Source organism: Homo sapiens, chromosome 3 (genome assembly GCF_000001405.40).
Source record: "Homo sapiens chromosome 3, GRCh38.p14 Primary Assembly".
Classification (NCBI taxonomy): Eukaryota; Metazoa; Chordata; class Mammalia; order Primates; family Hominidae; genus Homo; species Homo sapiens.
This window is the reverse complement of record NC_000003.12, coordinates 39,141,855-39,168,015: the sequence shown is the minus strand read 5'-3', so window position 1 is coordinate 39,168,015 and position 26,161 is coordinate 39,141,855. Positions and strand designations below refer to the sequence as shown.

At 49.1% G+C, this 26,161-nt stretch overlaps 1 protein-coding gene and 1 long non-coding RNA gene across 9 annotated transcripts in view, besides 14 other annotated features; one reads left to right on the top strand and one right to left on the bottom strand.

The window, feature by feature from the left end:
• The window catches only part of LOC101928263 (uncharacterized), a 21,468-nt gene extending 6,236 nt beyond the window's left edge, over positions 1–15,232 (bottom strand). The window contains exon 1 of one of the 2 annotated variants that reach the window (XR_245209.4): positions 15,145–15,232. This is a non-coding gene — a long non-coding RNA (uncharacterized LOC101928263). Of the gene's footprint in view, positions 1–13,538; positions 14,303–15,144 lie in introns of those variants that run through there. The other variant, XR_940735.3, reaches the window with a different exon arrangement.
• Positions 1,564–1,858: an enhancer, noted in NCBI's record as "tiled region #1375; HepG2 Activating non-DNase unmatched - State 22:ReprW". NCBI's record gives its function as "activates a minimal TATA promoter and a strong SV40 promoter by Sharpr-MPRA in HepG2 cells {active_cell/tissue: HepG2}" and the evidence as "EXISTENCE:reporter gene assay evidence [ECO:0000049][PMID:27701403]".
• Positions 13,101–13,600: an enhancer, noted in NCBI's record as "H3K27ac hESC enhancer chr3:39195907-39196406 (GRCh37/hg19 assembly coordinates)". NCBI's record gives its function as "activates a minimal SCP1, AML or CMV promoter by ChIP-STARR-seq in naive and primed H9 embryonic stem cells {active_cell/tissue: H9 hESC(naive and primed)}" and the evidence as "EXISTENCE:reporter gene assay evidence [ECO:0000049][PMID:30033119]".
• On the top strand, positions 13,375–26,161 carry CSRNP1 (cysteine and serine rich nuclear protein 1). 7 transcript variants are annotated; one of them, XM_047448723.1, is made up of 5 exons: positions 13,375–13,440; positions 21,294–21,538; positions 22,760–23,019; positions 23,565–23,879; positions 23,972–26,161. In XM_047448723.1, exons 2-5 carry the CDS (start codon positions 21,334–21,336, stop codon positions 24,959–24,961), a joined length of 1,770 nt encoding a protein of 589 aa, XP_047304679.1. In that variant the 5' UTR covers positions 13,375–13,440; positions 21,294–21,333; the 3' UTR covers positions 24,962–26,161. The 7 variants fall into 7 exon arrangements, with proteins under 7 accessions (XP_047304679.1, NP_001307489.1, NP_149016.2 ...); NM_001320560.2 differs by having other exon boundaries at positions 13,375–13,519; NM_033027.4 differs by lacking the exon at positions 13,375–13,440 and adding an exon at positions 14,425–14,578.
• Positions 14,132–15,161: a silencer, noted in NCBI's record as "silent region_14221". NCBI's record gives its function as "represses an Ori minimal core promoter by ATAC-STARR-seq in GM12878 lymphoblastoid cells {active_cell/tissue: GM12878}" and the evidence as "EXISTENCE:reporter gene assay evidence [ECO:0000049][PMID:35858748]".
• Positions 14,132–15,251: a biological region, named in NCBI's record as "H3K27ac-H3K4me1 hESC enhancer GRCh37_chr3:39194268-39195127".
• Positions 14,380–15,239: an enhancer, noted in NCBI's record as "H3K27ac-H3K4me1 hESC enhancer chr3:39194268-39195127 (GRCh37/hg19 assembly coordinates)". NCBI's record gives its function as "activates a minimal SCP1, AML or CMV promoter by ChIP-STARR-seq in naive H9 embryonic stem cells {active_cell/tissue: H9 hESC(naive)}" and the evidence as "EXISTENCE:reporter gene assay evidence [ECO:0000049][PMID:30033119]".
• Positions 15,192–15,251: a silencer, noted in NCBI's record as "silent region_14220". NCBI's record gives its function as "represses an Ori minimal core promoter by ATAC-STARR-seq in GM12878 lymphoblastoid cells {active_cell/tissue: GM12878}" and the evidence as "EXISTENCE:reporter gene assay evidence [ECO:0000049][PMID:35858748]".
• Positions 15,240–16,100: an enhancer, noted in NCBI's record as "H3K27ac-H3K4me1 hESC enhancer chr3:39193407-39194267 (GRCh37/hg19 assembly coordinates)". NCBI's record gives its function as "activates a minimal SCP1, AML or CMV promoter by ChIP-STARR-seq in naive H9 embryonic stem cells {active_cell/tissue: H9 hESC(naive)}" and the evidence as "EXISTENCE:reporter gene assay evidence [ECO:0000049][PMID:30033119]".
• Positions 16,032–16,081: an enhancer, noted in NCBI's record as "active region_19694". NCBI's record gives its function as "activates an Ori minimal core promoter by ATAC-STARR-seq in GM12878 lymphoblastoid cells {active_cell/tissue: GM12878}" and the evidence as "EXISTENCE:reporter gene assay evidence [ECO:0000049][PMID:35858748]".
• Positions 18,879–19,018: an enhancer, noted in NCBI's record as "active region_19693". NCBI's record gives its function as "activates an Ori minimal core promoter by ATAC-STARR-seq in GM12878 lymphoblastoid cells {active_cell/tissue: GM12878}" and the evidence as "EXISTENCE:reporter gene assay evidence [ECO:0000049][PMID:35858748]".
• Positions 19,169–19,228: a silencer, noted in NCBI's record as "silent region_14219". NCBI's record gives its function as "represses an Ori minimal core promoter by ATAC-STARR-seq in GM12878 lymphoblastoid cells {active_cell/tissue: GM12878}" and the evidence as "EXISTENCE:reporter gene assay evidence [ECO:0000049][PMID:35858748]".
• Positions 20,527–21,220: an enhancer, noted in NCBI's record as "H3K27ac-H3K4me1 hESC enhancer chr3:39188287-39188980 (GRCh37/hg19 assembly coordinates)". NCBI's record gives its function as "activates a minimal SCP1, AML or CMV promoter by ChIP-STARR-seq in primed H9 embryonic stem cells {active_cell/tissue: H9 hESC(primed)}" and the evidence as "EXISTENCE:reporter gene assay evidence [ECO:0000049][PMID:30033119]".
• Positions 21,221–21,914: an enhancer, noted in NCBI's record as "H3K27ac-H3K4me1 hESC enhancer chr3:39187593-39188286 (GRCh37/hg19 assembly coordinates)". NCBI's record gives its function as "activates a minimal SCP1, AML or CMV promoter by ChIP-STARR-seq in naive H9 embryonic stem cells {active_cell/tissue: H9 hESC(naive)}" and the evidence as "EXISTENCE:reporter gene assay evidence [ECO:0000049][PMID:30033119]".
• Positions 21,221–21,941: a biological region, named in NCBI's record as "H3K27ac-H3K4me1 hESC enhancer GRCh37_chr3:39187593-39188286".
• Positions 21,722–21,941: an enhancer, noted in NCBI's record as "active region_19692". NCBI's record gives its function as "activates an Ori minimal core promoter by ATAC-STARR-seq in GM12878 lymphoblastoid cells {active_cell/tissue: GM12878}" and the evidence as "EXISTENCE:reporter gene assay evidence [ECO:0000049][PMID:35858748]".

Sequence of the window (26,161 nt, the reverse complement as noted above, 5' to 3'; positions counted from 1 at the left end):
GCAGGGCATGGCTACACAGAGGTTGCTACACAGACAAGAAATTTTGTTCACATACATTTCATAAATGTGAGATCAATGATAATTTCCATAGAAATCTCAATACCTTTGTAATAATTATCATGGTCTTGTAGCATGCACCTGGGCCATCAGAGCTGAATTAAGCAGTTTAGCTCAGCTTGTATTTAGTAAAGAGAATAAATACCATTAGCTGTAGTCCAACTTGATAAAACATTTTCATACTGTTTTCATGGTATTATTTATATTTATTATATTTCCATTTTATTGTTACTATTATTGTTATTATATCATATAATAATGGCAGTATGGCCCCAAATCATAAAGATAGATCCATCGTTCAAAAAAGGTTCATTAAAGAATAAAAGTATTATTGAAAATAGTAACAAAAATACTGCAATATAAAGTGTGATTATATATATTAGGGCTGATGAGTGGTTGAATCAGATGATTTTATACAAGTAGGAAAAAAAGTACGAATCAGAAATAAGGGTATGGGAATGAATATCCAAAAATAGGATTTTGTTAGCTTGTAATGCATTTCCTCTTGAGGCATCATCTATTGTGAAACTTGTCAGATAGTGGCATGATGCCCAGTGAGGCCTTTGCATCATATTTGTTTGCATCAGACCTTGTAAGCTAGTTAGAAAACCAATCAAGCTTCTCCTGAATGTGAGTAAATAAAGTCTACTGTGATAGGGATGCACTTTCTCACTAAAGACAGAGAAAAGATTGAAACCACAAAGGCATCATTAAACTTGTCCAACTTACAGTGAAAATCAACACAATTCACATCATGGCTTATAAACTGAGTCATAGGCTACCAGGGAATATGATGATTACAGAAAAAGCAGAGCAAGCTCTTGATGAAATTACTGGATCAAACAACACTTTTGGCTGTCACAGAAAATCAATGGCACATTCTGTGAAAGAGCAATTGCTGTCCTGAGTGAGTGCTAGCACACAATTGGCTTCATTGTTGAATAAAACTACTTGTGGTAAGCCTCATTCATTGTCAAGAATTCATCCCATCCCTGCCTTCTTGATGACAAATCCCTGATTTTGATCCATGCACCAAAGTCTCCAGTCTCAAGCAATTAATTACAAGTCATCTAAATCAGGCATGATCAACCCATTTTCCACCTTTCCAGTCTTCCTTGCTACTATAGGAGACCACGAAGCCCCATTCTGATCAATGAAATGTGATGGGAAGTCTGCTGAGGGTACTTCTTGAAAATTTTTGTTTTCTTAATAATTAGGCATACATGCTGGTACCTCTTTCCCTCCTTCTTCCTAAGTTGACCATGCCTGGGGCTGGGCAGCCATCTTGCAAATATGAAGCAACCAGTACAAGGTAAAAGCTGAAATAATTGTAGGCACATCCGCACTGCCATTATTGAGCCACTGAATGTCAGTGGTTGACTACTTCAAGACTGCCTGCTATAGTATAGAAGTCAACCTCTCTATGTTTAAAGCCACTGTAACTTGTTTTCCATCACTGATAGTTGCAGACATTGCTAATGGGTGCACCACTGGTGTGTGGAGTGTGAGTCAGCTCTTCACATATTTTCAAGACACATGAGGGAAATGTGCTTGTTAACTTTTTATGCTGTTTATCACCGAATTCCTTTGCAAGATTAGATGAATGAGCTTCTGGCTCCCAGTTGGGTTTCAGCAATGGCAATCCCCAGCAGGAAATGGAGAAGGAAGAGAGTGAGATCAGGGCACTTAATCCCCTGGCTTCCTGCCTGTGAGTCACCATGGGTTGGATGCATCCTTCAACAGGAGGCCACTGGTCCTCCCAAGACAGCCCACTCCATCGGTTCTCTCCCTTCTAATGACACCTTCCACCCTTTTTTTCTTCAGGCCTGTTGGTGGTAACAGCTTTGCTACTGCTTCTCCAGTTTATTGTATCATCTCTTGGCATACTTCTATATCTGCAAGACTGCAAATAGTCCCCTTGTAAACAAGCCTTCCTAAAATCAGGCTTCCTAAAACAAGCCTTTTTTTTTTTTAAAGTGAAAACAAGTTTATTAAGAAAGTAAAGGAATAAAATAATGGCTACTCCATAGGCAGAGCCGCCTCATCTTGGTTTTAAGTGTGCTATTATCTTTTGGTATACTGACTGACCAACCAGCATCAATTCACAGATTTAAAAAAAAAAAAAAAAACTTGCAGCTGAATGTCAACCATACACCACTGTATTCACAAAGACCAGCTGTCAGGCAACAATCTGGCTCCTAATCTCGATATATATAGAAACAAATAGCAAGAAGAGTCAATGCCTTCAATTCATGGCCTCTCCTATTATGTCTTCTCAGAATACTGTGTAGAGAAATGGACAGTAAGTCAAAGACACTGTTGAACAAAGTATGCTGGTTGCTGAAGGAAAGATATTCACATGAGGTTTTGAAAGAAGAGATGAGATACAGCATCCCTTTGTGGTACTGATAGCTCTTTGATGTAGGTGGCTAGTTCAAGCAGCATCTCAGTGGCACATTCAGTATCTTGATTACCCTGAACTTTTGGCTTCTGGGCAAGGCTATCAACCTCTTTCATATTGAGAAAAAGACATCAAGATTTTGAAGACAGAACTGTGGTGCCAAAGCTTAGCCTTTGAGAATACAACTCTTTTCCTACATCTAAATGTTTTCTTTTCTTGGCAGAGAAATAAATTGATATAAAAGCAACCACTAGAAATATTAAAAACAGACTTATGAACCTTCAAATAATCAGACAAAAATACAAACATATAGGCGCACACACACATGCATACCGAAGAAGACAAAAATACACAGGGTAAAACATAGAAAACACAAGCAGTATTTAAATAGAAAACAAGATAAGAAGACACAGTTAAGGCGAATATGTCAGTTATATCAGCACATGTAAATGGGATAAAACTACTCATGATAGAAAAATGATTCTCACATCGAATGATAAAAGTGTCTTAAAAAGTGTATGATGTGTGCAAGAGATGCATCTTTGCCAAAATAACTCAGAAAGGTTAAAAATAAAATACAAACCAAGGTGTACCAGAAAATAGTAAGCTAAGGCTGCAATGTTACCATCAGCCAAAATTAAATTAAATATAAAAATGTGAAACGAGGCAAAAAAAAAAAAAAAAGTTAAACAGGAGCAAGAGTGGTATCCACCTGAAGAATCTAGTTTAGGCCGGGTGTGGTGGCTCATGCCTGTAATCCCAGCAGTTTGGGATTGCTTGCATCTAGGAGTTCGAGACCAGCCTGGGCAACATAGGGAGACCCCCTGTCTCTACAAAAATTCAAAAATTTGTGGGGCATAGTGGCATGTGCCTGTAGTTCCAGCTAGTCAGGAAGCTGAGGTTGGGAGGATCACTTGAGCCAGGGAGGTCAAGGCTGCAGTGAGCCGTGATTATGCCACCACATTCCAGCCTGGGTGACAGAGTGAGACCTTGTCTCAAAAAAAAATAATAACAATGAAATAAGTAAAACCACAGTAAGATACCACCTTACCCTAGCCAGAATGGCCATTATTAAAAAGCCAAAAAACGACAGATGATGGTGTGGATGTGGTGAGATGGGAATGCTTATACACTGTTGGTGGGAATGTAAATTAGTACAACGTCTATGGAAAACAGTATGGAGATTTCTTAAAGAACTAAATCTACCATTTGATCTGACAATCCCATTACTGGGTATCTACACAAAGGAAGAGAAGTCATTATATGAAAAAGACACCAGCACATGCATGTTTACAGCAGCACAATTCACAATTGCAAAGATATGGAACCAACCTAAATGTCCATCGACTAATGAGTGAATAGAGAAAATGTGGTATATATACCATAGAATATTACTCAGCTGTAAAAAAGAATGAAATAATGTCTTTTGCAGCAACTTGGATGAAGCTGGAGGCCATTATTCTAAGTGAAGTAACTCAGGAGTGGAAAACCAAATACTGTATGTTCTCACTTATAAGTGAGAGCTAAGCTGTGGGTACACAAAGGCAAACAGCATGGTGTAATAAACTTTGAAGACTCAGAAGTAGGGGGGTGGAAAAGGGGTGACAGATATTGGGACAATATACACTACTTGGGCGAGAGATGCACTAAAATCTCAGACTTCCCCACTATATAATTCATCCATGAAACCAAAACCCCCTGGGACCCCACAAGCTATTGAAAGAAAAAATTATATATAGAGAGAGAACGAAAAGGCCTGACATTGTGGGCACATCCTATACCCAGGTAAGAGGAGGATTAAACCAAGAGCTGTAAGGTGACAGATTAGCTGAAAAGTTCCAGAGGAGAGCTGACTGCACTAACAAACGTTGCGTTTTCAAACATGTTTCAGGTGCATGTCAGGTCATTCGGATGGGACAACAGTTTATACCACAGTAGCCAAATGTAAAAAGAAAAAAGTCATTTCAGGAAAAAGCATCAGGTTGAAGGTAGTGCCTCCAAAGATAATGTCCTCCTGGAAGCTGTGAATGTATGAAAGGAGTTTTGTGGGTGTAATTCCGTTAACAATCTTGATGCCATCATCATGGATTGAGATGGGCCCTAAATCCAATGATAAGTGTCTTCAGAAGAGAAGAGGAGAAAAGGCCCACAGGGGAGAAGGCAACGTGAAGACAGAGCAGAGCCCAGAGGGACGCGGCCACAAGCCAAGGAGTGCCGAGGAGGGCCGGCAGCCACCAGAAACTGCAAGAGAGGCAGGGAATGGTTTTCCCTCACAGTGTCCAGAAGGAAACAGCAGTGCCAACACCTTGACTTAGGACTTCTGGCCTCCAGAACTGTGAGAGAATAAATTTCTATTGTTTTAAGCCAAAAAATAAAAAGCAAGGTGAAAGCAGCCATCATGATCATTATCATTTAACATGGCTCTAGCAGTTCAAGCCAGTGTAATTAGACAAAAAAGAGAAATGTGATGTAAATATTGGAAAGAGGAAGCAAATTTATATGTAGATGATGTGATTGGAAAATTCCCAACTATTAGAGAGGCAGTAATTCAGGATGGCTCGGGTGCGGTGGCTCATGCCTGTAATCCCAGCACTTTGGGAGGTTGAAGCAGGTGGATTTCTTGAGCCCAGAAGTTCGAAACCAGCCTGGAAACATGGCGAAACTCTGTCTCTACAAAAAATACAAAAATTAGCTAGGCATGATGGCGAGCACCTGTGGTGCCAGGTACTAGGGATGCTGAGGTGGAAGGATCACTTGAGTCCAGGAGGCAGAGGTTGCAGTGAGCCAAGATTGTGCCACTGGGCAACAGAGCAAGATCCCATCTCAAAAAAATAAATAAATAAAGATGATGGCAGTTTCCAAGGTTCATATACAAAACCCAGTAGCTCTCCTTTACTTTACTTTATATACATAATATATGTATATATATAAAATCTATCAGAAATATACGATAGAAATTACAGTTATAATGGCAATCAAAAAGACAAAATATTTAGAAAAATATTTAAAAGACATATAAGGGCCTTTACAAAGATAATATTAAAATTATACAGAATGCTGGGCAAAGTGCTCCCAGCATTTTGGGAGGCCAAAGCGGGAGGATGGCTTGAGCTCAGGAGTTTAAGACCAGTCTGGGCAACATAGTGAAGCCTGACCACTGCTAAAAACAAACAAAATTAGCCAAATGTGATGGTGCACGCCAGTAGTCCCAGCTACTTGGGAAGCTAAAGTAAGAGGATTGCTTGAGCCCAGGAGTTTGAGTCTGCAGTGAGCTATGAGCCCACCACTGCACTGCAGCCTGGGCAACAAAGTGAGATCCTGTCTCTAAAAATAAAAATAAATAAAATAATAGAGAACATTCTATTCTAGGCTTTTGTTTTTTGTTTTGTTTTGAGACAGGGTCTCACTCTGTCTCCCAGGCTGGAGTGCAGTGGCATGATAATGACTCACTGCAGCCTCAACCTTCTGGACTCAAGTGATCCTCCCACCTCAGCCTCCCGAGTAGCTGGAACTACAGGCATATGCCACCACACACCACAAAGTTTCGAATTTTTGTAGAGACAGGGTCTCCCTATGTTGTCCAGGCTGGTCTCAAACTCCTGGATGCATGTGATCCTCCCACCTTGGCCTCCCAAAGTGCTGGGATTACAGGTGTGAGCCACTGTAGCCAGACTACTCTGTGTTTTTTGTTTTTTTTTGAGACAGTGTCTTCCTCTTGTCACCCAGGCTGGAGTGCAGTGGTGTGATTTCAGCTCACTGCAACCTCTGCCTCCGGGGTTCAAGTGGTTCTTCTGCCTCAGCCTCCCAAGTAGCTGGGATTACAGGCACCCACCACCATGCCTGGCTAATTTTTTTTTTTTTTTTTTTTTTTGAGATGGAGTCTCATTCTTGTCCCCCAGGCTGGAGAGCAATGGCGCGATCTCGGCTCACTACAAACTCCGCCTTCTGGGTTCAAGCGATTCTCCTACCTCAGCCTCCCGAGTAGCTGGGATTACAGGTGCCTGCCACCACACCCAGCTAATTTTTGTATTTTTAGTAGAGACAGGGTTTCACCATGTTGGCCAGGCTGGTCTCGAACTCCTGACCTCAGGTGATCCACCCGCCTCGGCGTCCCAAAGTGCTGGGATTACAGGCATTAGCCACTGCGCCCGACTAATTTTTGTATTTTTAGTAGAGACGGGGTTTCACCATGTTGTCCAGGCTGGTCTCGAACTCCTGACCTCAGGTGATCCACCTGCCTCAGCCTCCCAAAGGGCTGGGATTACAGGTATGAGCCACTGTGCCCGGCCTATTCTGTGCTTTTGAATAGAAAGACTCAATATTATAAAAATGTCAGTGTTGGCTGGGCACAATGGCTCATTCCTGTAATCCCAGAACTTAGGGAGGATCACTTGAGGCCAGGAATTTGAGATCAGCCTGAGCAACATAGTGAGACCTCAACTCCACATTTTAAAAATTTAAAAATAAAAAATGTCAGTGCTTTCTCAATCCATTTACTCACTGTGACTCTAATCAAAATACCCATAGGATTTGTTTGTTAGTCAGGTGAGGAACTTGTCAAAAATTATATGACAACCAAATGAGGAAATAAATAAGAGCCAGGAAAGCCCTGAAAAAGAAAAGCAACAAGATGAGGCTAGATGTATCAGATGATAAAAATATTATGAAATTATAATTTGTAAAGCAATTTGGTATCCAAAGGTGAAATAGACAACTCAGTAAACCAGAATAGAAAATCAGAAATAGATCCCAACACATATCAGAATTCAGTTTACGTTTAAGGTGACATTCTAAATTAGTAGAGAAAGGTGGTAGTAAAATTAGCTACCCATTTGGGGGAAAAATATAATGGGAACACTATTCCCTAAATCAAAATAAATTCCAGGTGGATAAAGGATATATATTAAAAATAAAACCATAAGACCATAGAGAAACAATAAGTAAATTTATTTATAATAGTATGATAAAGAATTCAGCAAATAAAATCCAGGATCCCTAAAGTAAACATTTATGAAATGTGGCTATATAAAAATTTAAGCTCACACGTGTAATCCTAACACTTTGAGAGGCTGAGGTGGGACGATTGCTTGAGCCAAGGAGCGCAAGACCAGCCTAGCTACATAGCAAGACCTGGTCTCTACAAGTAATAAAAAAAAAAAATGAGTTGGGGGTGGTGGTGTGCACCTGTGGTCCCAGCTACCTGGGAGGCTGAGGTGGGAGGATTGCTTGAACCCTAGAGGTTGAGGATGCAGTGAGCCAAGATCTTGCCACTGTATTCCAGCCACCCTGGGCGACAGAGCGAGACTCTGTCTCAAAAAAAAGAAAAAAAAAAAAGACTTCTGTACGGTAAAGCATTCTATAAAGCAAGGTGAAAGACAAACCAATAATAAGTGCTACTGTGTAACAGACAGACAAGCTCACCTCCTTCATCCTCAAAGACCTAAAGCAACTCAAGACAAAATGAGTAAGGAATATAAACCAGCAGTTTACTGAGAAATAGAAATGGTTTTTAAAAGCTTCAACTTCACTCGTAAAAAGAGAAATGCCAACTGAAACAGTAAGATTTGTTTCTCCTATCAGATTGGCAGAGATTCACAGTTTGATAGCACCCAGTGCCAGGGAGGGTGTTGGGAAACAGTCACCCTCAGACACTACTGGTTGAGAGTGAAATTGGTGCAATTTTTGGGATGGTGATTTGGCAATGTCTTTCAAACTCCTTTGACCCAGAACTCAACTGCTTGGATTTTTAACCTACAGATCTATGCACAAAAGTCTTCCAATTTAGATAAATAAGAATGTTCAAGAAATGTGCTTTAAGACAGTCTCCTTTCTGCATTCTTGCTTTCCAATGCAATGCTCAGTGGGCCTCAAAATTTGATGTGCATAAGAATCAATTGGAGGGCTTGTTAAAACCCAGGTTGCTGGGCCCCACTTGCAGAATTTCTGATTCAGTAGGTCTAGGAAAGACCTAAGAATCTGCATTTCTAACAGCTTCTCCGGTGATGCTGATGCTGATGGTCAGGCGTTAGAACTTGAGAACAATTGCCTTAGCCTGTTGAGAGGGCTGGGGTGGGTCTCCAACCAAGATGAAGGCCTAGAGAGGGGAATTCCTTTGAGGAGGGGGAAGAGTAAAAGGCAAGGTGGAGAGGAGCAGAATTCCCCTCAGGACTATGGAGAGGAGGAGGTAGTTTGGGTGGGGTTGTCCAGAGGGGAATGTTTGAGCCCCCTAAGAAGCCAGGAACTTAGTCCCTATTCGCAGCCTCATAAAAGAGTCTTCCCTTCCCTCTGCACAACCAAGGATAGCTCAGAAATAGCAGGGCCCATCTTCTATGCTCAGTGGATCCATGGGCTTGGAGAAGGAGAATATTAGCCACAAGCAGACAGTATGGACTGAAAATCAGACAGCTAGGTCATCCTAGACAGGGGAAGGCATCCCCATTCTTCAGATAGACCTCAGAGGGGTGGGGTTGGGATGGCACACAGGAGAGTGTCTCTGCTGACTGAAGGGGAAGCTCCCCTTGAGACTTAGCTGCTCGGATTTGATTTGGGGGAGGGGGAATTCTTTTTAACAAATCATGTTGGGAAAACTAGATATTCATATGCAAAATAATGAAGTTGGACCCTTAGCTTATTATCATATAAAATTTAACTATAAATGGATTAAAGACCTAAACGTAAGAGCTAAAACTATGAAACTCTTAGATGAAAAATAACTTGAAGCTCCTTGCACTTGAGAGTCATGAATGGAATAAAATTCTTACCCATCTGTGGCAAAATAAGAAATATATCTGGTCTTTGTCCCTACTTTCTTGCTCAGAGTTCCTTTGGAATTTCCCTTGGAGTTTCCTGAGTGACAGGATTTATCCATCAGGAGCCCCTTACAATCACACCTGAGTCTATGCTATTATAATAAAGTGATTAAGGGTGGGGCCCTTAGCCTCAGAATGAGGTTGATCACCAGAAAGACCAAGGGATTAGAAGGCTAGAACTTTCAACTCTACCCATCAACCTCCAGGAGGGGGAAGGGGACTAGAGATTAAGCTCTACAAAAACTCCTGAACAATAAGACGGAATGAGCTTCCAGGCTGGTGAACACATCCACATACCAAGAGGGAAGCAGACCCCAGTGCTCCAGACACTTCTGAACCTTAATCTGTTTCTCGTCGTCTGGCTCTTCGTTTGCATTCTTTATAATAAACTGGTAACTAAAGCGTCTCCCTGAGTTCTGTGAGCCATTCCAGCAAATTATTGAACTTTAGGAGGGGGCTGTGGGAACTCCAGCTTTATAGCTGGTTGGTCAGAAGTACAATAAGCCTGGAACTTGTGACTGGTGTCTGAGAGGAATGGTCAGTCTTGTGAGACTGAGCCCTGAAGCTGTGGGGTCTGCACTAATGCTGGGAAGTTAGTGTTAAAGTTGAATTGTTGAACACCCAGCTGGTGTCTGGAGAATCAGATAATTGGCTGTAGGTGTTGGAAAACTCTCCAGACCATCACACTAATTTAGATGAAGAGAAACCAAACAGTTGAACCTGACCTGTGGACCCCAGATATACCTCACTGGTCTAGATGTAGATTATCGGTGAAAGGCTGAAAACACTGGCTCCATTTTCACAATAATGGCACTGTGATTGACACTAACTTCTCCTCTCTTTAAAAAAAAAAAATCAGGGTAAAACTTAAAGTGAACAAATCTTCAGTAAGGAACTTGAATCTTTACACATGTATATACCTGTCCAACTGCTACACAGATCAAGATATAGAACATCTCTAGCATCCCAGAAGGCTCTTGTGCCCCTTCCCAGTCAATATCCCCAAGGCAACATTATCTATCACTGTGCTTTAATTCACCTGCTTTAAAATTTAATAAAATAAGTGGAATTATAGTTACTCCTCTTTCAAAGGTCGCACCTCCCAGTACTGACACAATGGCAATTAAATTTCAATCTGAGTTTTGGCGGGGACATTCAAACCATAGTATCGTATGAAGCAATAGCTCGTTATTTTTCGTTGTTGTGTAATATCCCATTATATGATAACAATTAATTTTCACTTACCTATTAGTAGAATTCGTGTTGTTTTCAGTTATGGGCTGAAAACATACATAAAACTGCTATAACATTATTTTAAATGTCTCTTGGTGTGTATAAGCGCCTTGTTTCTCCTGGGTATATACTGAATAGTGGAATTATTTCCAATAGTTTCCAATTATACCCTCACTAACTCAAGTGCCCAAACCTGCCCAGTTCCCTGATTGTGTCAATTCACCCTCCCATCAACAATGTACGATGGGCCAGGTATGGTGGCTCACGCCTGAAATCCCACCATTTTGGGAGGGCAAGGTGGGCAGATCACTTGAAGTTAGGAATTCAAAACCAGCCTGGCCAACATGGTGAAACCCCATCTCTACTAAAAATACAAAAATTAGCTAGGCATGGTGGCATGTGCCTGTAGTCCCAGCTACTTGGGAGGCTGAGGCAGGAGAATTGCTCGAACCTGGGAGACGGAGGTTGCAGTGACTTGAGATCATGCCACTACACTCCAGCCTGAACAATTTACAACGGATCTGGTCAATTCTCAATTTTGTCATATTTAATATTATTAGTTTCCTTTGAGATTAGCTTTACTAATGGGAATAAAGCATTAATTTTTAATTTAAAAAAATTTTATTTAAAACTTGTGATAATTTTTATTTACCTAAAATTGGTGGTTCATGGATGCTGAATGTTGGAGAAACTTAGGACTCTTCCAAGTATTCAGAAATTCCTTGAGGATATGTGGGTGTGTTTCTGCCTATATATGTGCCATAGTCACAGATGGATGCTGCTCTAGACCCCACCCTTAATGCTTTGGAACAGACCTTTCTTTTCCCCATGAATAAGAAGAGTTTACTTGGGATCCCAGAGGGAGATGTTTCCCATCATCAGTAACATCTGGGGAACATCTGGTGAGTCCATCCCAGGACGGGGAGATGCTTTTCTGGAGAACACACGTCACTTGATTCTTCTTATTCTCCTGTATTTTCCTTTGTTCTCTCTTTCTCTTCCATTGGGCTCCCCACTCTAAGCGCCACTCCAGCCCTCACCAGCAAACTCCCTACCCTGATTTCTGACTCGTCTGGTTTCCCCAATATACAACTCAACAGGATGCAAACGTAGGCAGCATGAGAGACCCTCATTAATTCTAGTGCCCAACCCTGCCCAGTTCCCTGATAAGCAGGCAGCATCTTCTAGAAACTGAGTCAAGGAATGTTGAAGCTGGTGAGGGTTCTCTTGTCCAATGCCTCCATTTTACAGATTGAAAAGCTAAAGGCCAGAAAGTGAGGGAAAGAGACAGTCAGGGACAGAAACAAAACTAGATCACTTCTGGGTATCATAGAAGCCTCTCTTCTGCTGGAAACTTGGCCTGGAGATTAGAGGCAGGCAGGAAGGCAGGCAGTGGAAAGGATTCCTTGGGAACAGCAACGTCTGCAGCCCGCAGCCACAGTGAGAGCACAGCTGAGGTCTGAGGTGGGTGGTGGAGGGTGGGTGGCCTGCGGGTTTACCCCTTAAAGCCCTGAGAGTGGAGTCACCTCTAGCAACAGACACCCAGCTTTGTAGCCTTTAAGCTCCTTCCTGTGCATTCTCAGCTACACTATAGCTTCAGTGTGCTAGCTGTGTGTTAAAAATCCATCCACTGCCACCTCCAGCCCTGCCCTCTCCTTGAGCCCTAGCAACTTTACCCATTTGCTAGTCATGTTTAGTTTATTCAACAAGTTCTTATCAAGCACTGGAGATAGAGCAGTGATCAAGTCCAACATTGCTCCTGCCCTCCCACTGCTCACAGACAAAGCACAAGGAAATGCACAAGGAAACCACACAACTAAGTGGGTGCAAGGCAGGTGCAAGGTGGGATCAGCATCCTTGAAAGTTTAAAACAGGACATACTCTGAGAACTGACAACTGGCCAACAGAGCTGGAGAGCAGTCATCAGGGGTATGAGGTGGAAGTGTACAGGTGAGGCTGCGACAGAATCATACCTCATGTATAAAATAAAACCAAATGCAGAAGGACTAACGTTAAAAGCACATGAACTGGCCGGGCGCGGTGGCTCACACCTGTAATTCCAGCACTTTGGGAGGCCAAGGCGGGTGGATCATCTGAGGTCAAGAGTTCGAGACCAGCCTGGCCAACGTGGAGAAACCCCATACCTACTAAAAATACAAAAAAAACTAGCCAGACGTGGTGGCGCATGCCTGTAATCCCAGCTACTCGGGAGGCTGAGGCAGGAGAATCGCTTGAACCCAGGAGGCGGAGGTTGCAGTGAACCGAGATTGAGCCACTGCACTCCTGCCTGGGCAACAGAGTGAGACTCCATCTCGGAAAAAAAAAAAAAAAAGCACATAAACCAACAAAATGACACGTACACACATTAATGGCATTGAAGGGGGGGGAAGGGAGTGGTAAATGAGGGTATGAAGAGAGAGGTGAGACTGCAAAAGTGAGAAAGGGCCGATTATTTCAGCTTTGTAGGCCCCAAGGAGTTGAGACTTCATCAGGAGGGTACTGGGAAGCCACTGGAAGCTTGGCTCCAGCTGCCCAGACACCTCCGCCTGCAGGCTCCCAGGTACACACTCAATGCATGCGGAAGGACAGGGCCTTTATCTTCCCCCAACCTGCTTTCCTCCTGTTGTTCTTGCAGGAAAGGTAAAGTGGAGCAGACCCCTGCCATTCTACATGCACATCTGTGGCTGAAGAGGGGCTCTCACCATCAACTCCACCGCAGATGCCATCCAAGAAGGCCAGGAGGTCACCCCCACCCCCAACCTGGAGGAAGGTAGAATGGAATCCTGAGGGCTGGGCTAGTGGCTGACAGCATTCATCTAGGACAGTCAGAAGAACCCAGAATGCAGCGGGAGCAGGACTGGGAGGGGGAGGGTCAGGCTCCCACGAAGGCTCCCTGGAGGAGGCAGTGCAAGCTGAGCCCTTAAAGGCATTGGGATTCTGGTAAGCAGAGAGAGGGCAGGAGAGCATTCCAGTCGAGAAGACCGGCTGCAGTAAAAGCGTGAGGGTGGAAACGCTCGAGGTGATGAGTAGACTCGTACCTGCGGTTGGGAAGTGGGGCTGAGGGTGGGCTCCCAGGCCAGGACTTGGTTGCCGGGGCATGTCGTACCGGGAGGGTTGGCCCCGAGTCAGGAAAGGCCTTGGCGGGAGCAGAGAAGGCAGTGGACCATTTTAAGTGGCCAAGATCTGGCCCGGAAGAAACCAGCCTTTTTATTTTTTTAAGGGAAGGTTGAGGTGGGAGTGGGGAAGCTAGTTCTAAGAACCCCTAGTTTGGAACTTCTGCAGGGAAGGGTCTCTTGGCCCGTGGGCAGGAATGAAGTTCAGGCCCACTGATTACATCCATCCTTCCCGCTCCCTGCCTCCCCGCTCCCCACACACCCCAGATTCCTCTCCAGCCACAGTTTACTTTTCCGGCGGATCTGGGGGTGGGTGGTAGGTTGGGGGCGGAGGGGGGAACTTTTAGATTGGAATAAAATAAACTCCCTCTAGAGGGGTGGGGGTGGAGAGCGTACAGGAGACGTCGGCTCTGCCACTGTCTAGCCCGTGGCCTTGCGGAGTTACGAGGTGCTCCCGGCCTCGGTCTACCCATCTGTAAACTGGGGCGGTGGGGCGAGGTGGGGATCTCTACGCTCGGCTCTGCCGGCTTGAGTCGTCCGCGCCTTTAGGGACCGTGCTGGAAGCGGGGCGGGGAGGGCGCTGGCGGGAGAGGGCTGGGGGCGGAGAGCGGCGGAGGCGCAGTCGCCGGGTCACAGTCCGCAGGGAGGCCCCCAGGCCGCTGCGCCAGGCTCCAGGCGGGGGAGGAGGCGGCGCCTCCGGGGCGGGGCTGCCGGGCGGCCTGGCTGGAGGCCCGGCGTGCGTCAGCGCAGTGAGCCCCGGAGTTTTCCACTGACGAGGAGGGCGGAGCGGCGGGCGGGGCTGGGCGCAGGCAGTCTCCCGCCGCCGCCGCCGCTGCCGGACGCGCAGAGCGAGGGGCGGCTGGACCGACGGCTGCCGGGCCGAGCGCACAGAGTCGCGGCGCAGGGGGCGTCCCCGGCCGGGACGCGGGTCGCGTCGTTGTCCTCCGCGAGCGTCCGGATTGCAGGTGAGCGCCGAGGGGCCTCGGGCCCGGCAGGACGGGACTTTGGGGAGGGGGCATTCAGCGCGAGTGGCACTGCCGCTCCTGCCTCCTGCCGTTCACTCCCCGGCACCCTGAGCGGGCGCGGGGGCTGGAGCTGCCCGGCTCTGACGGCGTGCCGCGGCCGGAGTCGGGGGCCGGGGGCCCGGCCGGCGGGAGTCGCAGGTTTTCTGCTCCCCTCCCCCGCCCGCCGCGGTAACCCCGAGAGAAGTCACGGCTCCCCGAGCTCGGCGCGAGTGGGGACAGAGCCGGGCTTGCGCGCGAGCGGCGAGGCGACGGGGGCGTGCGTCCGCGGGTGAGTTTCCTTTTGACCCAGTTGCCTGAGAACTTTTCAGAAGTTCCTCGCGTGGCCGGAGCAGGTGACATTTGTCGCCTTCCTCCTCGGGCTCCCCCCTCGGGGAGGCTGCGGGAGCTGCGGCGTGTGCCGGGCGCCCCCGGCCGGCGGGGGTCAGGGAGGGAGTGGAGGGATGAGCGTAGAGGGAGGCGCGGTGAGTCACGGACCCCGGGAGGGAGGGATTGTGTCGTAGGCTCACCTGTTTGTCAGTCGCCGTCACTCTCAGAGGCCACTGCTGTGAGTCACGGGCTCAGCTACACCGGCCACCCGCAGGCACACGTAGACTCTCTCCCACGCACTTCTCCTCCTTCCGCAGCACGTACTTCCTCCCCTTCCTCAGTTTCTCCTCCCCGGGGCCCATTCACAGGCACGCACTGTGGAGATGCCCACACCACAGCCATAGTCACACACTTAGTCACTCCCGCTCCCGGCACAAACACACACAGCCGTAGCCCACACTCCTGACACCAGAGGGTTCCTCCCCGTCTCCTGCTGCCCACCCAGCACCTCCACCCAGAAGTCTCAAGCCTTTTGGAGAGTAGCTCGTCACCTCCCCCGATCCAAATCCTTGACAGCCCTGCCCTCTTCCTTCTCCACATCTTGGTATCTGCCTTTCTCCTATGCCCTTGACCTGTCATCTCTCCTGGCCCTGGCAGCACCTCCAACCGGTCACACCCCCTCCACTCCCGGTGCTGAGCCACGTTTTTAAAATGCAAATCTGGCATTGTCACTCCCTACTTAAGCCTTCTGTGGCTTGCCGTGCCCTCGAGGTAAAGCCTGCCCTGGAGCCCAGGCTCAGCCTCGCGGGCTGCCCCTCCTCCGATCACACTGTGCTGGTCCCTCCTCCTGTTCCTTACCCATGCGGAGCCCCTATCTGGAACTCTGCCTACATTCCTTCCTCGGAGAGACCTACCTTCACCCCAGCCGTACCCTGTCCCACCCTTCAGACCCTCCATCCCAGCACCCCACTCTATTTGTCCTCCCTGCTCAATTCAGAGCTTCAAGAGGGCAGCAGTTGTATAAGTCTTGCTCCCTGCATGCGCGAGTGCCTGCCACAGTGTTTGGCACATATGTGAGCTTAGTGTGTATTTGTTGAATGAATGAATGAGAGAGGGAAGAAGGCCCCACTTAGGTGGAGGAAGCAGTCATTGTCAGGTGCAGTTTCCCTTCTGCAGGAACAAGTGCCTCATGTAGCCAGCAAACATTTGGCACCTATCCAGTGCCAGGTCCTGGAGGCCAAAGCCGAGGAGCCGTCCCCTCCCCCAGCTCTCCTTCAGAGGGATGGTTGGGGAGGAGGTGCCAAGGCTTTCGGTCTGCCCTCTCAGGGCCACCCAGGCTGGTTTTTCAGTGGGGGCTAGAGGTGCTGGGAGGTGCCCTCCCCTTCTCCCAGGAAGTTCCTGAGGGACAGGGGTCATGTGACCCCAAGTGTTTTGGGGGGACTGGCCAAGGCCTGGGGCTCTGAGGTTAAAGGACACATTCTTCAGATTCCTGAAGGGGGATGGAGGCAGCTAAAGGTGCCCCCTCCCTAAGACTGGCTTGGGTTGAGGCCTGGGGCACTGGTAGGACTGCTGAGGTGGACAGAGGAGTTGCTGTGACGTTTTCAAGCCCCGCCCCCACTTCTCAAAAACAGCCTTTGGTTACTTGGTGCCCAGGGGTGAGGTGGCCTTTCCTGGATTTGCACAGTGTGACCTGAGCGTGTGGATAACTGTGGCCAGTTGAGTGGGGGGTTGTCAGTGCCTGTGTGTGGTGGCAGGAGGGCTGCCTGATTGTCAGGGCTCAGATCCCAGAAGAAGCCTGGCTCTCAGATTCAGGGCCTGTCTCTGGGGTTCCTCGGCGGTGTGGTATTTCTGTCTGAGCCAGCTCCTGGGAACTGCTTTTCCTTCCTCCAGGACCCTAGGGAGGGGGCTGTGCTCACCCTGGGAACACTGCCATGGTCAGGATCTTGATTCCTGGGTAGCTGCTGAGGGCCCCTCCCCCCACCTCTGACTCACTGTCTGACACTTTTCTTAGATTCTCACTATGTTTCATTCCCTCTTGGCCTCTCCTTGTCTCTGGCTCAGTCTTTTTGTTTCATCTCCTGCCTCTGCCTCTTAGCCTCTGGATTCCGAGGTGGAACAGAGGAACATGAGAACCAGGGGCACTTCCCCCGCCTCTCCAGAGGAGTATCAGGGAGGAGGTAATTTCTCATTTCATTCCCGCTCTGCAGATTTGGAGGGGATTGTTCATCACTAGAACCTGCAGCATGACCGTAGCTTCCCTGTGTCTCTGTTTCCCTGTCTGTAGGCTTGGAGGTCATAACCTCCTCACCTTAAGTTCTCTTTCTGTGGCGATCCCTTAGGCAGAGCCGCAGTGCGTATCTGAGCCTGCTTTCCTGACATCTCTCTCCATCTGTTTCCTCTTGGGGGACCAGGGAGCCTCCTGGGATTGCCTACATTGGCACCTGCCTGCAGCCTGAGCTTCCCTCTCCTGCCACCAGAGCCACCCTTTTTGAGCACCATTCTTGCTTGTACCCTCTGGCACAGCTGGGGGATAGACATGTGACTCTCCTCCTGCCCCTCTTAAATTAACTGTGACAGGAGCAGGAGAAGGTCACACTGACCAGTCGCCCTCAGCAGCCTCATGTGGGTAAGATTGCCTGTGCAGTTGGGTCTATACCCGATATGCAGGGCTGGTCTGCTTACCTCTGGTATTATCAGGTGCCTTCTCTATGCCAGACTCTGTCCTAGACATGGGCACATGGGCAGCCAGAGAGAAATGCCCTCAGTGTGAGGCAGATGAGCAATGAGGCCCTTGCAGTCTGATCAGATATAGTCTGTGATAGGGAAATACCAGGGTTTTTGGGAGCTGTTTTCCTTTGGGCTGCTATAATGGAAAGTCCATAGACTGGGTTGCTTAAACAAAAGATTTATTTTTCACACTTTGGGAGGTTGTGAAGTCCAAGATCAAGGCTCTAGTCAGCCTGATGAAGTCTGCCTTCTTGGCTTGCAGATGGACACCTTCTTGCTGGGTCTGAGCTCACATGTTGGAGAGGGAGACCATCTCTTTTGTGTCACTTCTTATAAAGGTGCTAATAAGGTGTCATTCATCTCCTGATTACCCCAAGGCCCACCTCCAAATACCGTCACACTGGGGATTCAGTCTCAACATAAGAATTTTGGTAGGATACAAATATTCAGTCCATAGCAGGAGCACAGAAAGGCAGGAGGAAGGAGTGGGGGATTCAGGAAGCCCCTTGAAAGATGACTTTCTGAAAGGGAATAAGGCTGGGTTGTTCCAGCTTTGCAGAGGCCAGGAGGTGAGCAGGGACATGGCCATTACGGGAACTGCCAGTTCAGCTGGAGTAAAGAGAGCAAGGTGGGGAGAGGGAAGCAGTGGCCAGGTCAGCTTCAGCTTCTTGAATTCTGGACTTGATCCTAATGCCCCAAGGGGAGCTATAGAGTGGTTCTAGGCGTGGGAGTGGCAGGTAAATGTGTGGTTTAAGAAGGTCATTCTGGCTGCAGGATCAAGAATGGCTGGGGAAAGAGGGCAGGAGTAGAGGGACATGGGGTGGCCACTGTGGGGACAGAGACATGTTAAGGTTAGTGAACTTTTTAAATTGATAGTAACCTAAATAAAATGCGTAAGTATATAAATCTTAAGTGTCCATAAGACGAATTTTTACAATTTTAGACATTCATTTAACCACCATGCAGATCAACATAGAACTTTTACAGGTCCCCCAGCCCTTCCTACCTCCCACCCCAGAAAATTTCCCTCATGACTCTCTCCAGGGTGTCCTTCTCCCTCTCCTGGGGAACCACTGCTCTGACTTATATCATCACAGAGTAGTTCTGCCTTTTTTTTTGAACATTTGCATGTATTTCGTGTCTGCCTTCTTTCACTCAGCATGATGTCTGTGAGATGCATCTGTGTCGTGTGCATCCAGGAGCTGGAGCTCATTTTTTTTTTTTTTTTAAACAGTGTGGAATAACACATTCACTGAGCACTTATCACTAATCTAAGAACATGTGACATGTGTTGATTCTTCTAAACCCCCCAACCCTATGAGGTCTTAAGACAAAGAATTGGAGGCACAGAGAGGTTAAGGAACTTGCCCAGGATTACCCAGCCAAGTAACAGTGGAGCCAGAGTTCAAAAGCAGGCAGTCTGGTTCTGGAGCCGAAGCTCTTAACACTGCCACGTGGCCTCCATGCAAAAGCAGGCAGTCTGGTCCTGGAGCCGAAGCTCTTAACACGGCCACGTGGCCTCCATGATACCTCCTGGGTCTGTTCCTGGCTCTGTGTGGATTAAACGGATTTACATGAACTCCCAGGCATGGCGTGCCTGGATATAGATGGAGGAAGAGAGAGGAAGGAGTTGAGGATGACTGCAGGTTTCTGGCTTGAGTGACTGGGTGGGTGGTGGGGCTGTTACTAAGATAGGGAACACAGGAAGAGGAACAGATGGCATGGGGGGTGGGGAACAGACACAAGGGGTTCGATTTGGGGCCTGCAGAATTTTATGTTTCTAGGGGATGGTTGGGCGGAGATAACAAGTGGGCAGTGGGTCCTGGGGGATCTCAGGCTGGATGTGTGGTGAAGGAGGCATTCAGGGCCCTGTAGATGGCATCTGGAACTGGGGAAAGGATGGGGTCTCTTGGCAGGATGCGATGGGGACAGGATGTGTGGGTGTTGTTTGTCCATATGTGTGTTTCCGTGTTGTCTGAGCATGTGTGTACATGTGAGTATGCCTGCCTCTGGGTCATGAATCCCCCACCTCCTGGGAGAACCTGCTGGTCAGCTGGGAGCTGGGTTGTTTTTGTTTGTGGTTTGACCCTGGGAGGGGGGTGCCAAGCCTGAGAAACTACCCACGGAGAAGCCCCCGGAAACATCTGTGAGTCTTCCCCCAGGCCCAGGGTGGGGGATTGGCTGGGGAGGGAGATTTTCTTGCTTCTCTCACGCTTGCCTAGGGGAGGCTGTCCCTGGGGTAAACATTATCCAGTTAGTAAGGTTGACAGCAAACTCTACAGGATTCGGGGACTTTGTAGGCGGCTGGGAAGAGGGCAAAGGAGTGTTTGGAAAGGACACCTGAGTAGAGGAGACCAAGACAGCCTTCTGGTTGGTTTTTCCTGTTCTCTCTCATTTCCTGTGATGGCAGTGGGGGAAGGGTTCCCCAGCACTGGGGCCTCGGCCTCAGCTTCAACTTCCTTTCCCTTTCCCCCTGGTGACCTCCCCGAAGGCCCAGCTGGAGCAACAGACACAAGGTAGCTGTACTCAGCCTTTGGGATTGAGTCCTCTGGGGCTTGCCAAACCTTGGGAAGGACCCTTATTTGCTGAAGCATTCCAGGGAATGAGCCCCAAGTCTCTTCTGCTTGGATAAGGCCAGCCAGCTGTGGGAGTCTCTGGTTATGCTTCTGCTGAGGGCTGAGACTCTCACTTGGGAGACAGTGTTGTGTTGTGGGGTGCTCCATGTCACGAAGCCACAGACAGGAGAGACTTTGGACATTAGGATCAAATGAGATGTTAAAGAGACAGCCTTAGTGGCTGTGGTCACACAGGCCTGGAGGCAGGAGACTTCTTGACAGTGGAGCGGGGGTTTCTAAGGGAAAGTCTGAGAAGCTCCCACACCGGGAGGGGAAGGGCTCAGAAACTACTCCGTCTAGGAATGGAGGCCAACGTCAAAGCCAGCCTGTTCCCCAGAGTGCCTGGCTAGCCTGGAGCAAGGGCCCGCAGCCCTGCCTGTGTGCAGAGTGGCGTGCCTGTTTGGATGTGCTGGAGGAGGAGGAGGAGGAAGCAGAGCCACCATACCAGGGCCGTGCGGGCTGTGCGGGCTGTAGGGCGTACACACACACACATACACACACACACACACACACACACAGGCACACAGATGCAAGCTGTGTGAATCACCCAGCCTGTGAGTCAGCGCCAGGATTCCTGTCGGGGAATGAGTGAGACCAGGCTGAGGTCTGTCAGTCCATCTGTTGGTCTGTCTGCCTCCTTCCCCTGCTGGTGTGGATGCATGTGTGTGTGTGTGTGTGTGTGTTTTGTGTATGTATGTAAGTGTGTGTTGTAGGAGGTAGTGGGGAAGGTGCCTGGTGCCTGGGAAGGCTTTGGGCAGAGGTGGGAGTTTGAAGCATCAGGCTGTGGATTTGCACATTAGTTTGGAGGGAGGGAGGTGCTGTGTCTTGTGCAGAGATCCTCCTGGAGACTGTGCCCTCCCCCACACAGAGCTCCACAGGCAGGGCTGGAGGGCAGAGGCCAGGGTCTGGGATGCCTTGGAGGGTAAGTGGGAGGGATGATGATCCTGGCTGGAAGTCCACCTGCTGCTGCCTGCCTGCCACTTAGAGCCTTCTCATTCCTATTCCAGGCTGTCTGTCCCCAGACCCCAGAGCACGTCCGGCACCACCATGACTGGGCTGTTGAAGAGGAAATTTGACCAGCTGGATGAGGACAACTCCTCGGTCTCCTCCTCCTCCTCTTCCTCTGGGTGCCAGTCTCGCTCCTGCTCCCCAAGCTCTTCTGTCTCCCGTGCCTGGGACTCAGAGGAGGAAGGCCCCTGGGATCAGATGCCCCTGCCTGACCGTGACTTCTGCGGCCCCAGAAGTTTCACCCGTGAGTACTCCCTCCCCTGGGAACTCCATCACCTGCCTGCCTTCCTGAAAGATGAAATTTAGAAGTCCCTGACCAAATGCCTTTGGCCTCTGGTGGTTAGGTCCCCATGGCGGTAGCTCTCATGAGCTATAATATAGTGGTCACTCAGTGTCCACTGTCCAGGGGCACCTGAGCCCAGCTAATTCACCTTTGACCTTGGGAGTGATGACATCCGGGATGCAGCTCTGCAGAGTGCTCTCAGGGCCTTCCCGGTCTGGCCCCTCCCTTCTGTTCCAGTTTCGTTTCTCCAATGAGCACCCTACCGTCCTACAAATGGAACTGCTGGAGTTCCCCGCCCGCCCCATGCTTCTCTGCCACGGGGCCTGTCAAGCCGGTCCCTCTCCTGTCAAAATGCTGTCCATTTTGCCTGAACATAGTGAAAAGGGGTTTTTCCTGGTTATTTTCAAGCTTGTATAGTTGTGATTCCAGACTGATGAACATGGCCCTAGAGCAGTGTTTCTGGACCTTATTTTTCATTATTGTTCCCCAGGAAGCCTATTTAGACATTTTCTCCTTAATTATCCCCCACCATGAAATTTTAATACAATAGATGTGCTGTTTACCTTTTTATGTACTGTAGGTATATATCTGTGCATTACACATAAAAAGAATATAATTTTTAGCACATGGAATCTAACAGTATAAACAGAAAACCTTTTAGAAGGGAATTCCCTCTGGTAGCTGGGTACAAAATTAATATAGTAAGTTGAAATATATGGAATTTCCAATATTTGACCATTACATGGTAATTTGCTATGGTTCAACCTAATGAAAATACCAGTACATAGCTTACTAATCAATAAACATTAACTTGTAAAGGGAAAGCCTTTTTAAGCCTGTTGCAAAACACAGAAATCCTACAAATCAATAAAAAACAATAGAAAACTGTACAAAGGACCTGTACATGGCTAATAAACATAGGAAAGATGTTTAATCTTACGAATACTGTCATTTGGACTGGTAAATAACAATAAGCCAGTTCTGACATGGGTGTGGTATTCAGTTTCAGCCGCTCCAGTCCCAACCACACAGGCTCCTAAATTCACATTTCTTTTTTCAAAATGGGTGGAGAGGGAGGAGGGAAAAGGTGGGAGGCGGGAGGGCAGTCTGGCATGATCTTTTTGGAGGTAAGTTGTGCCTCACTGAAAACTAATCCCCAGCCCATCTTTGCCTGCTTTCTAGCCCTGTCTATCCTGAAGCGGGCTCGCCGGGAGCGCCCAGGCCGTGTAGCCTTTGATGGGATCACCGTCTTCTACTTCCCCCGCTGCCAGGGCTTCACCAGTGTGCCCAGCCGTGGTGGCTGTACTCTGGGTATGGCCCTTCGCCACAGTGCTTGCCGTCGCTTCTCTTTGGCTGAGTTTGCGCAGGAGCAAGCCCGTGCACGGCACGAGAAGCTCCGCCAGCGCTTGAAAGAGGAGAAGTTGGAGATGCTGCAGTGGAAGGTAGAGAGAGTCCTCTCCGTGGCGCACCTCCTGAGGCAGCTCCTGGAGTCCTAACCTTGAGGGGTGGGCGTACCAGGGGTGGGTGCTGACTTGCTCATTATGGTTATGGGGAAACAGGCCTGTGGGCCTGGTGATTGGCTTGATTGGAGCCTGTTGCCTGGGTTGTCTGCAACAGGAGGCGCAGAGGAGGGCTCGTGTCTATTTGCTGCAGGGGCTGGGGGCATGATACCTGAATCTGAACTTTTTGGAGAGGGGGATGTGAAGTTGATATGAACTGGAGGGGGTGCGTATCTGTCTGGTTAGGAAAGGGAGTCTGTCCATGATCTAGGGAATGCCATGAGTAGGATATCTCTTTTTTTTTTTTTCAAATGCCCTGAGGGCAGTTTTCTTGGCTGTCCTGTTCACTGTCTGACACACAGTGCCCATCGCAGATTAAGCACGAGTAGTGGGGGGGTAAGCACTTGGGGAGGGTTTGTCTAGTGACAGTAGGGCTAAGCCCATGTCCATGTCTGTGCTTCTTACATCCCTCTTTCCTGTGGATGCAGCTTTCGGCAGCTGGGGTACCCCAGGCAGAGGCAGGGCTGCCACCTGTGGTGGATGCCATTGATGACGCCTCTGTGGAGGAGGACTTGGCAGTCGCTGTGGCAGGTGGCCGGTTGGAAGAAGTGAGCTTCCTACAGCCCTACCCAGCCCGGCGACGTCGAGCTCTGCTGAGGGCTTCAGGTGTGCGAAGGATCGATCGGGAGGAGAAGCGGGAGCTGCAGGCACTGCGCCAATCCCGGGAGGATTGTGGCTGTCACTGCGATAGGATCTGCGACCCTGAGACCTGCAGCTGCAGCCTGGCAGGCATCAAGTGCCAGGTGTGGTGGCTGGACTGGGATGGGGATCCTGAGCGTGGGGACTTCTTTGCACTCCACAGAACCCTCACTTGTACCTCTACTTTTCTCTGCAGATGGACCACACAGCATTCCCCTGTGGCTGCTGCAGGGAGGGCTGTGAGAACCCCATGGGCCGTGTGGAATTTAATCAGGCAAGAGTTCAGACCCATTTCATCCACACACTCACCCGCCTGCAGTTGGAACAGGAGGCTGAGAGCTTTAGGGAGCTGGAGGCCCCTGCCCAGGGCAGCCCACCCAGCCCTGGTGAGGAGGCCCTGGTCCCTACTTTCCCACTGGCCAAGCCCCCCATGAACAATGAGCTGGGAGACAACAGCTGCAGCAGCGACATGACTGATTCTTCTACAGCATCTTCATCAGCATCGGGCACTAGTGAGGCTCCTGACTGCCCCACCCACCCAGGCCTGCCTGGCCCTGGCTTCCAGCCTGGCGTTGATGATGACAGCCTGGCACGCATCTTGAGTTTCAGTGACTCTGACTTCGGTGGGGAGGAGGAGGAAGAGGAGGAAGGGAGCGTGGGGAACCTGGACAACCTCAGCTGCTTCCATCCAGCTGACATCTTTGGTACTAGTGACCCTGGTGGCCTGGCCAGCTGGACCCACAGCTATTCTGGCTGTAGCTTCACATCAGGCGTCCTGGATGAGAATGCCAACCTGGATGCCAGCTGCTTCCTAAATGGTGGCCTTGAAGGGTCAAGGGAAGGCAGCCTTCCTGGCACCTCAGTGCCACCCAGCATGGACGCTGGCCGGAGTAGCTCAGTGGATCTCAGCTTGTCTTCTTGTGACTCCTTTGAGTTACTCCAGGCTCTGCCAGATTATAGTCTGGGGCCTCACTACACATCACAGAAGGTGTCTGACAGCCTGGACAACATCGAGGCACCTCACTTCCCCCTGCCTGGCCTGTCTCCACCTGGGGATGCCAGCAGTTGCTTCCTGGAGTCCCTCATGGGCTTCTCCGAGCCAGCCGCCGAAGCCCTAGATCCCTTTATTGACAGCCAGTTTGAGGACACTGTCCCAGCATCTCTAATGGAGCCTGTGCCGGTGTGAGGACCAGGATGTCTTTTCCCAGCCCCAAGAGACCTGTTGCTGCTTTCTTGTAATTATGGGGCTCCCCAGAGTCTGCGTAACAGTCTCCCACTGGCTGGCTCACCCACAGGTGCCATGTGCACACTCCTGGTTTTCAAACAATTCTCTGGATTTATTTATTTGTTTTAACTTTTCTGTGCTGAAGAGAGGACTGGGGGGAGGGGGCTTCCCCTTTCAGCTGCCCGGCCCCCCACACCCACAGCTTGCTCTTCTATCTCCACAACGTGAGCCTGGAAGAGGAGAAAATGTGGCTCCTCTGGAGCTTGGCAGACCACTTTTCGGTCTTTGCGTGATGTTCCTTAGCCCAAAGACGGTGAGACAGGGCTGAAATCAGGTGGCTTCTGCCACCCTGAGCCCTAGACCCATGGGTGGCTAAATCCACTGGACTGTGAAGACTATAATTTATTTCCATAATTTATTTGGAGATTGAGGAGGCTTTGGTTGCACTTCTTTGGCTGGTGGGTAATGCCAGGGGTGGGGTGGGCACAGGCCCTCAAGAGCCCCTTTTGCCTTGTAGTCCTACACCTTGCCCTGCCTGGGCTTTGGTGCAGACTAGGTGTGGATTTGAGCTCTGTGATCTATGTCTGCTGCCTGGCTCCTAGATGGCTCTGTGGGCAGGTGCTGGCCAAGGACATCATCTAGGCAGGGGGAGAGCCTGGGCTGAACAGCTGTGACCAAAACTCCCTTCTGCCCCACCCTGCCCCCTCCACTTCCTGCCCTCTGTTCCATCTTCCCCCTTCCCAAAGGCCACAGCCTTTATTCCAGGCCCAGGGATGTAGGAGGGGGAAGGAGGAAACAGGAAGCCCAGAGAGGGCAAAGGGCCTACCTCGGGGCGCGAACCATGCCCCAGACTATTATCTCAGGGCTTTCTGGGCACTGCACTTCAGCGTGGCCCACCTGCCCATGCCCTGAGGCCAGTTGGCGAGGGGTGGCTCCTGAGGGTTTTTATACCCTTTGTTTGCTAATGTTTAATTTTGCATCATAATTTCTACATTGTCCCTGAGTGTCAGAACTATAATTTATTCCATTTCTCTCTGTGTCTGTGCCAAGAAACGCAGGCTCTGGGCCTGCCCCTTGCCCAGGAGGCCTTGCCAGCCTGTGTGCTTGTGGGAACACCTTGTACCTGAGCTTACAGGTACCAATAAAGAGGCTTTATTTTTA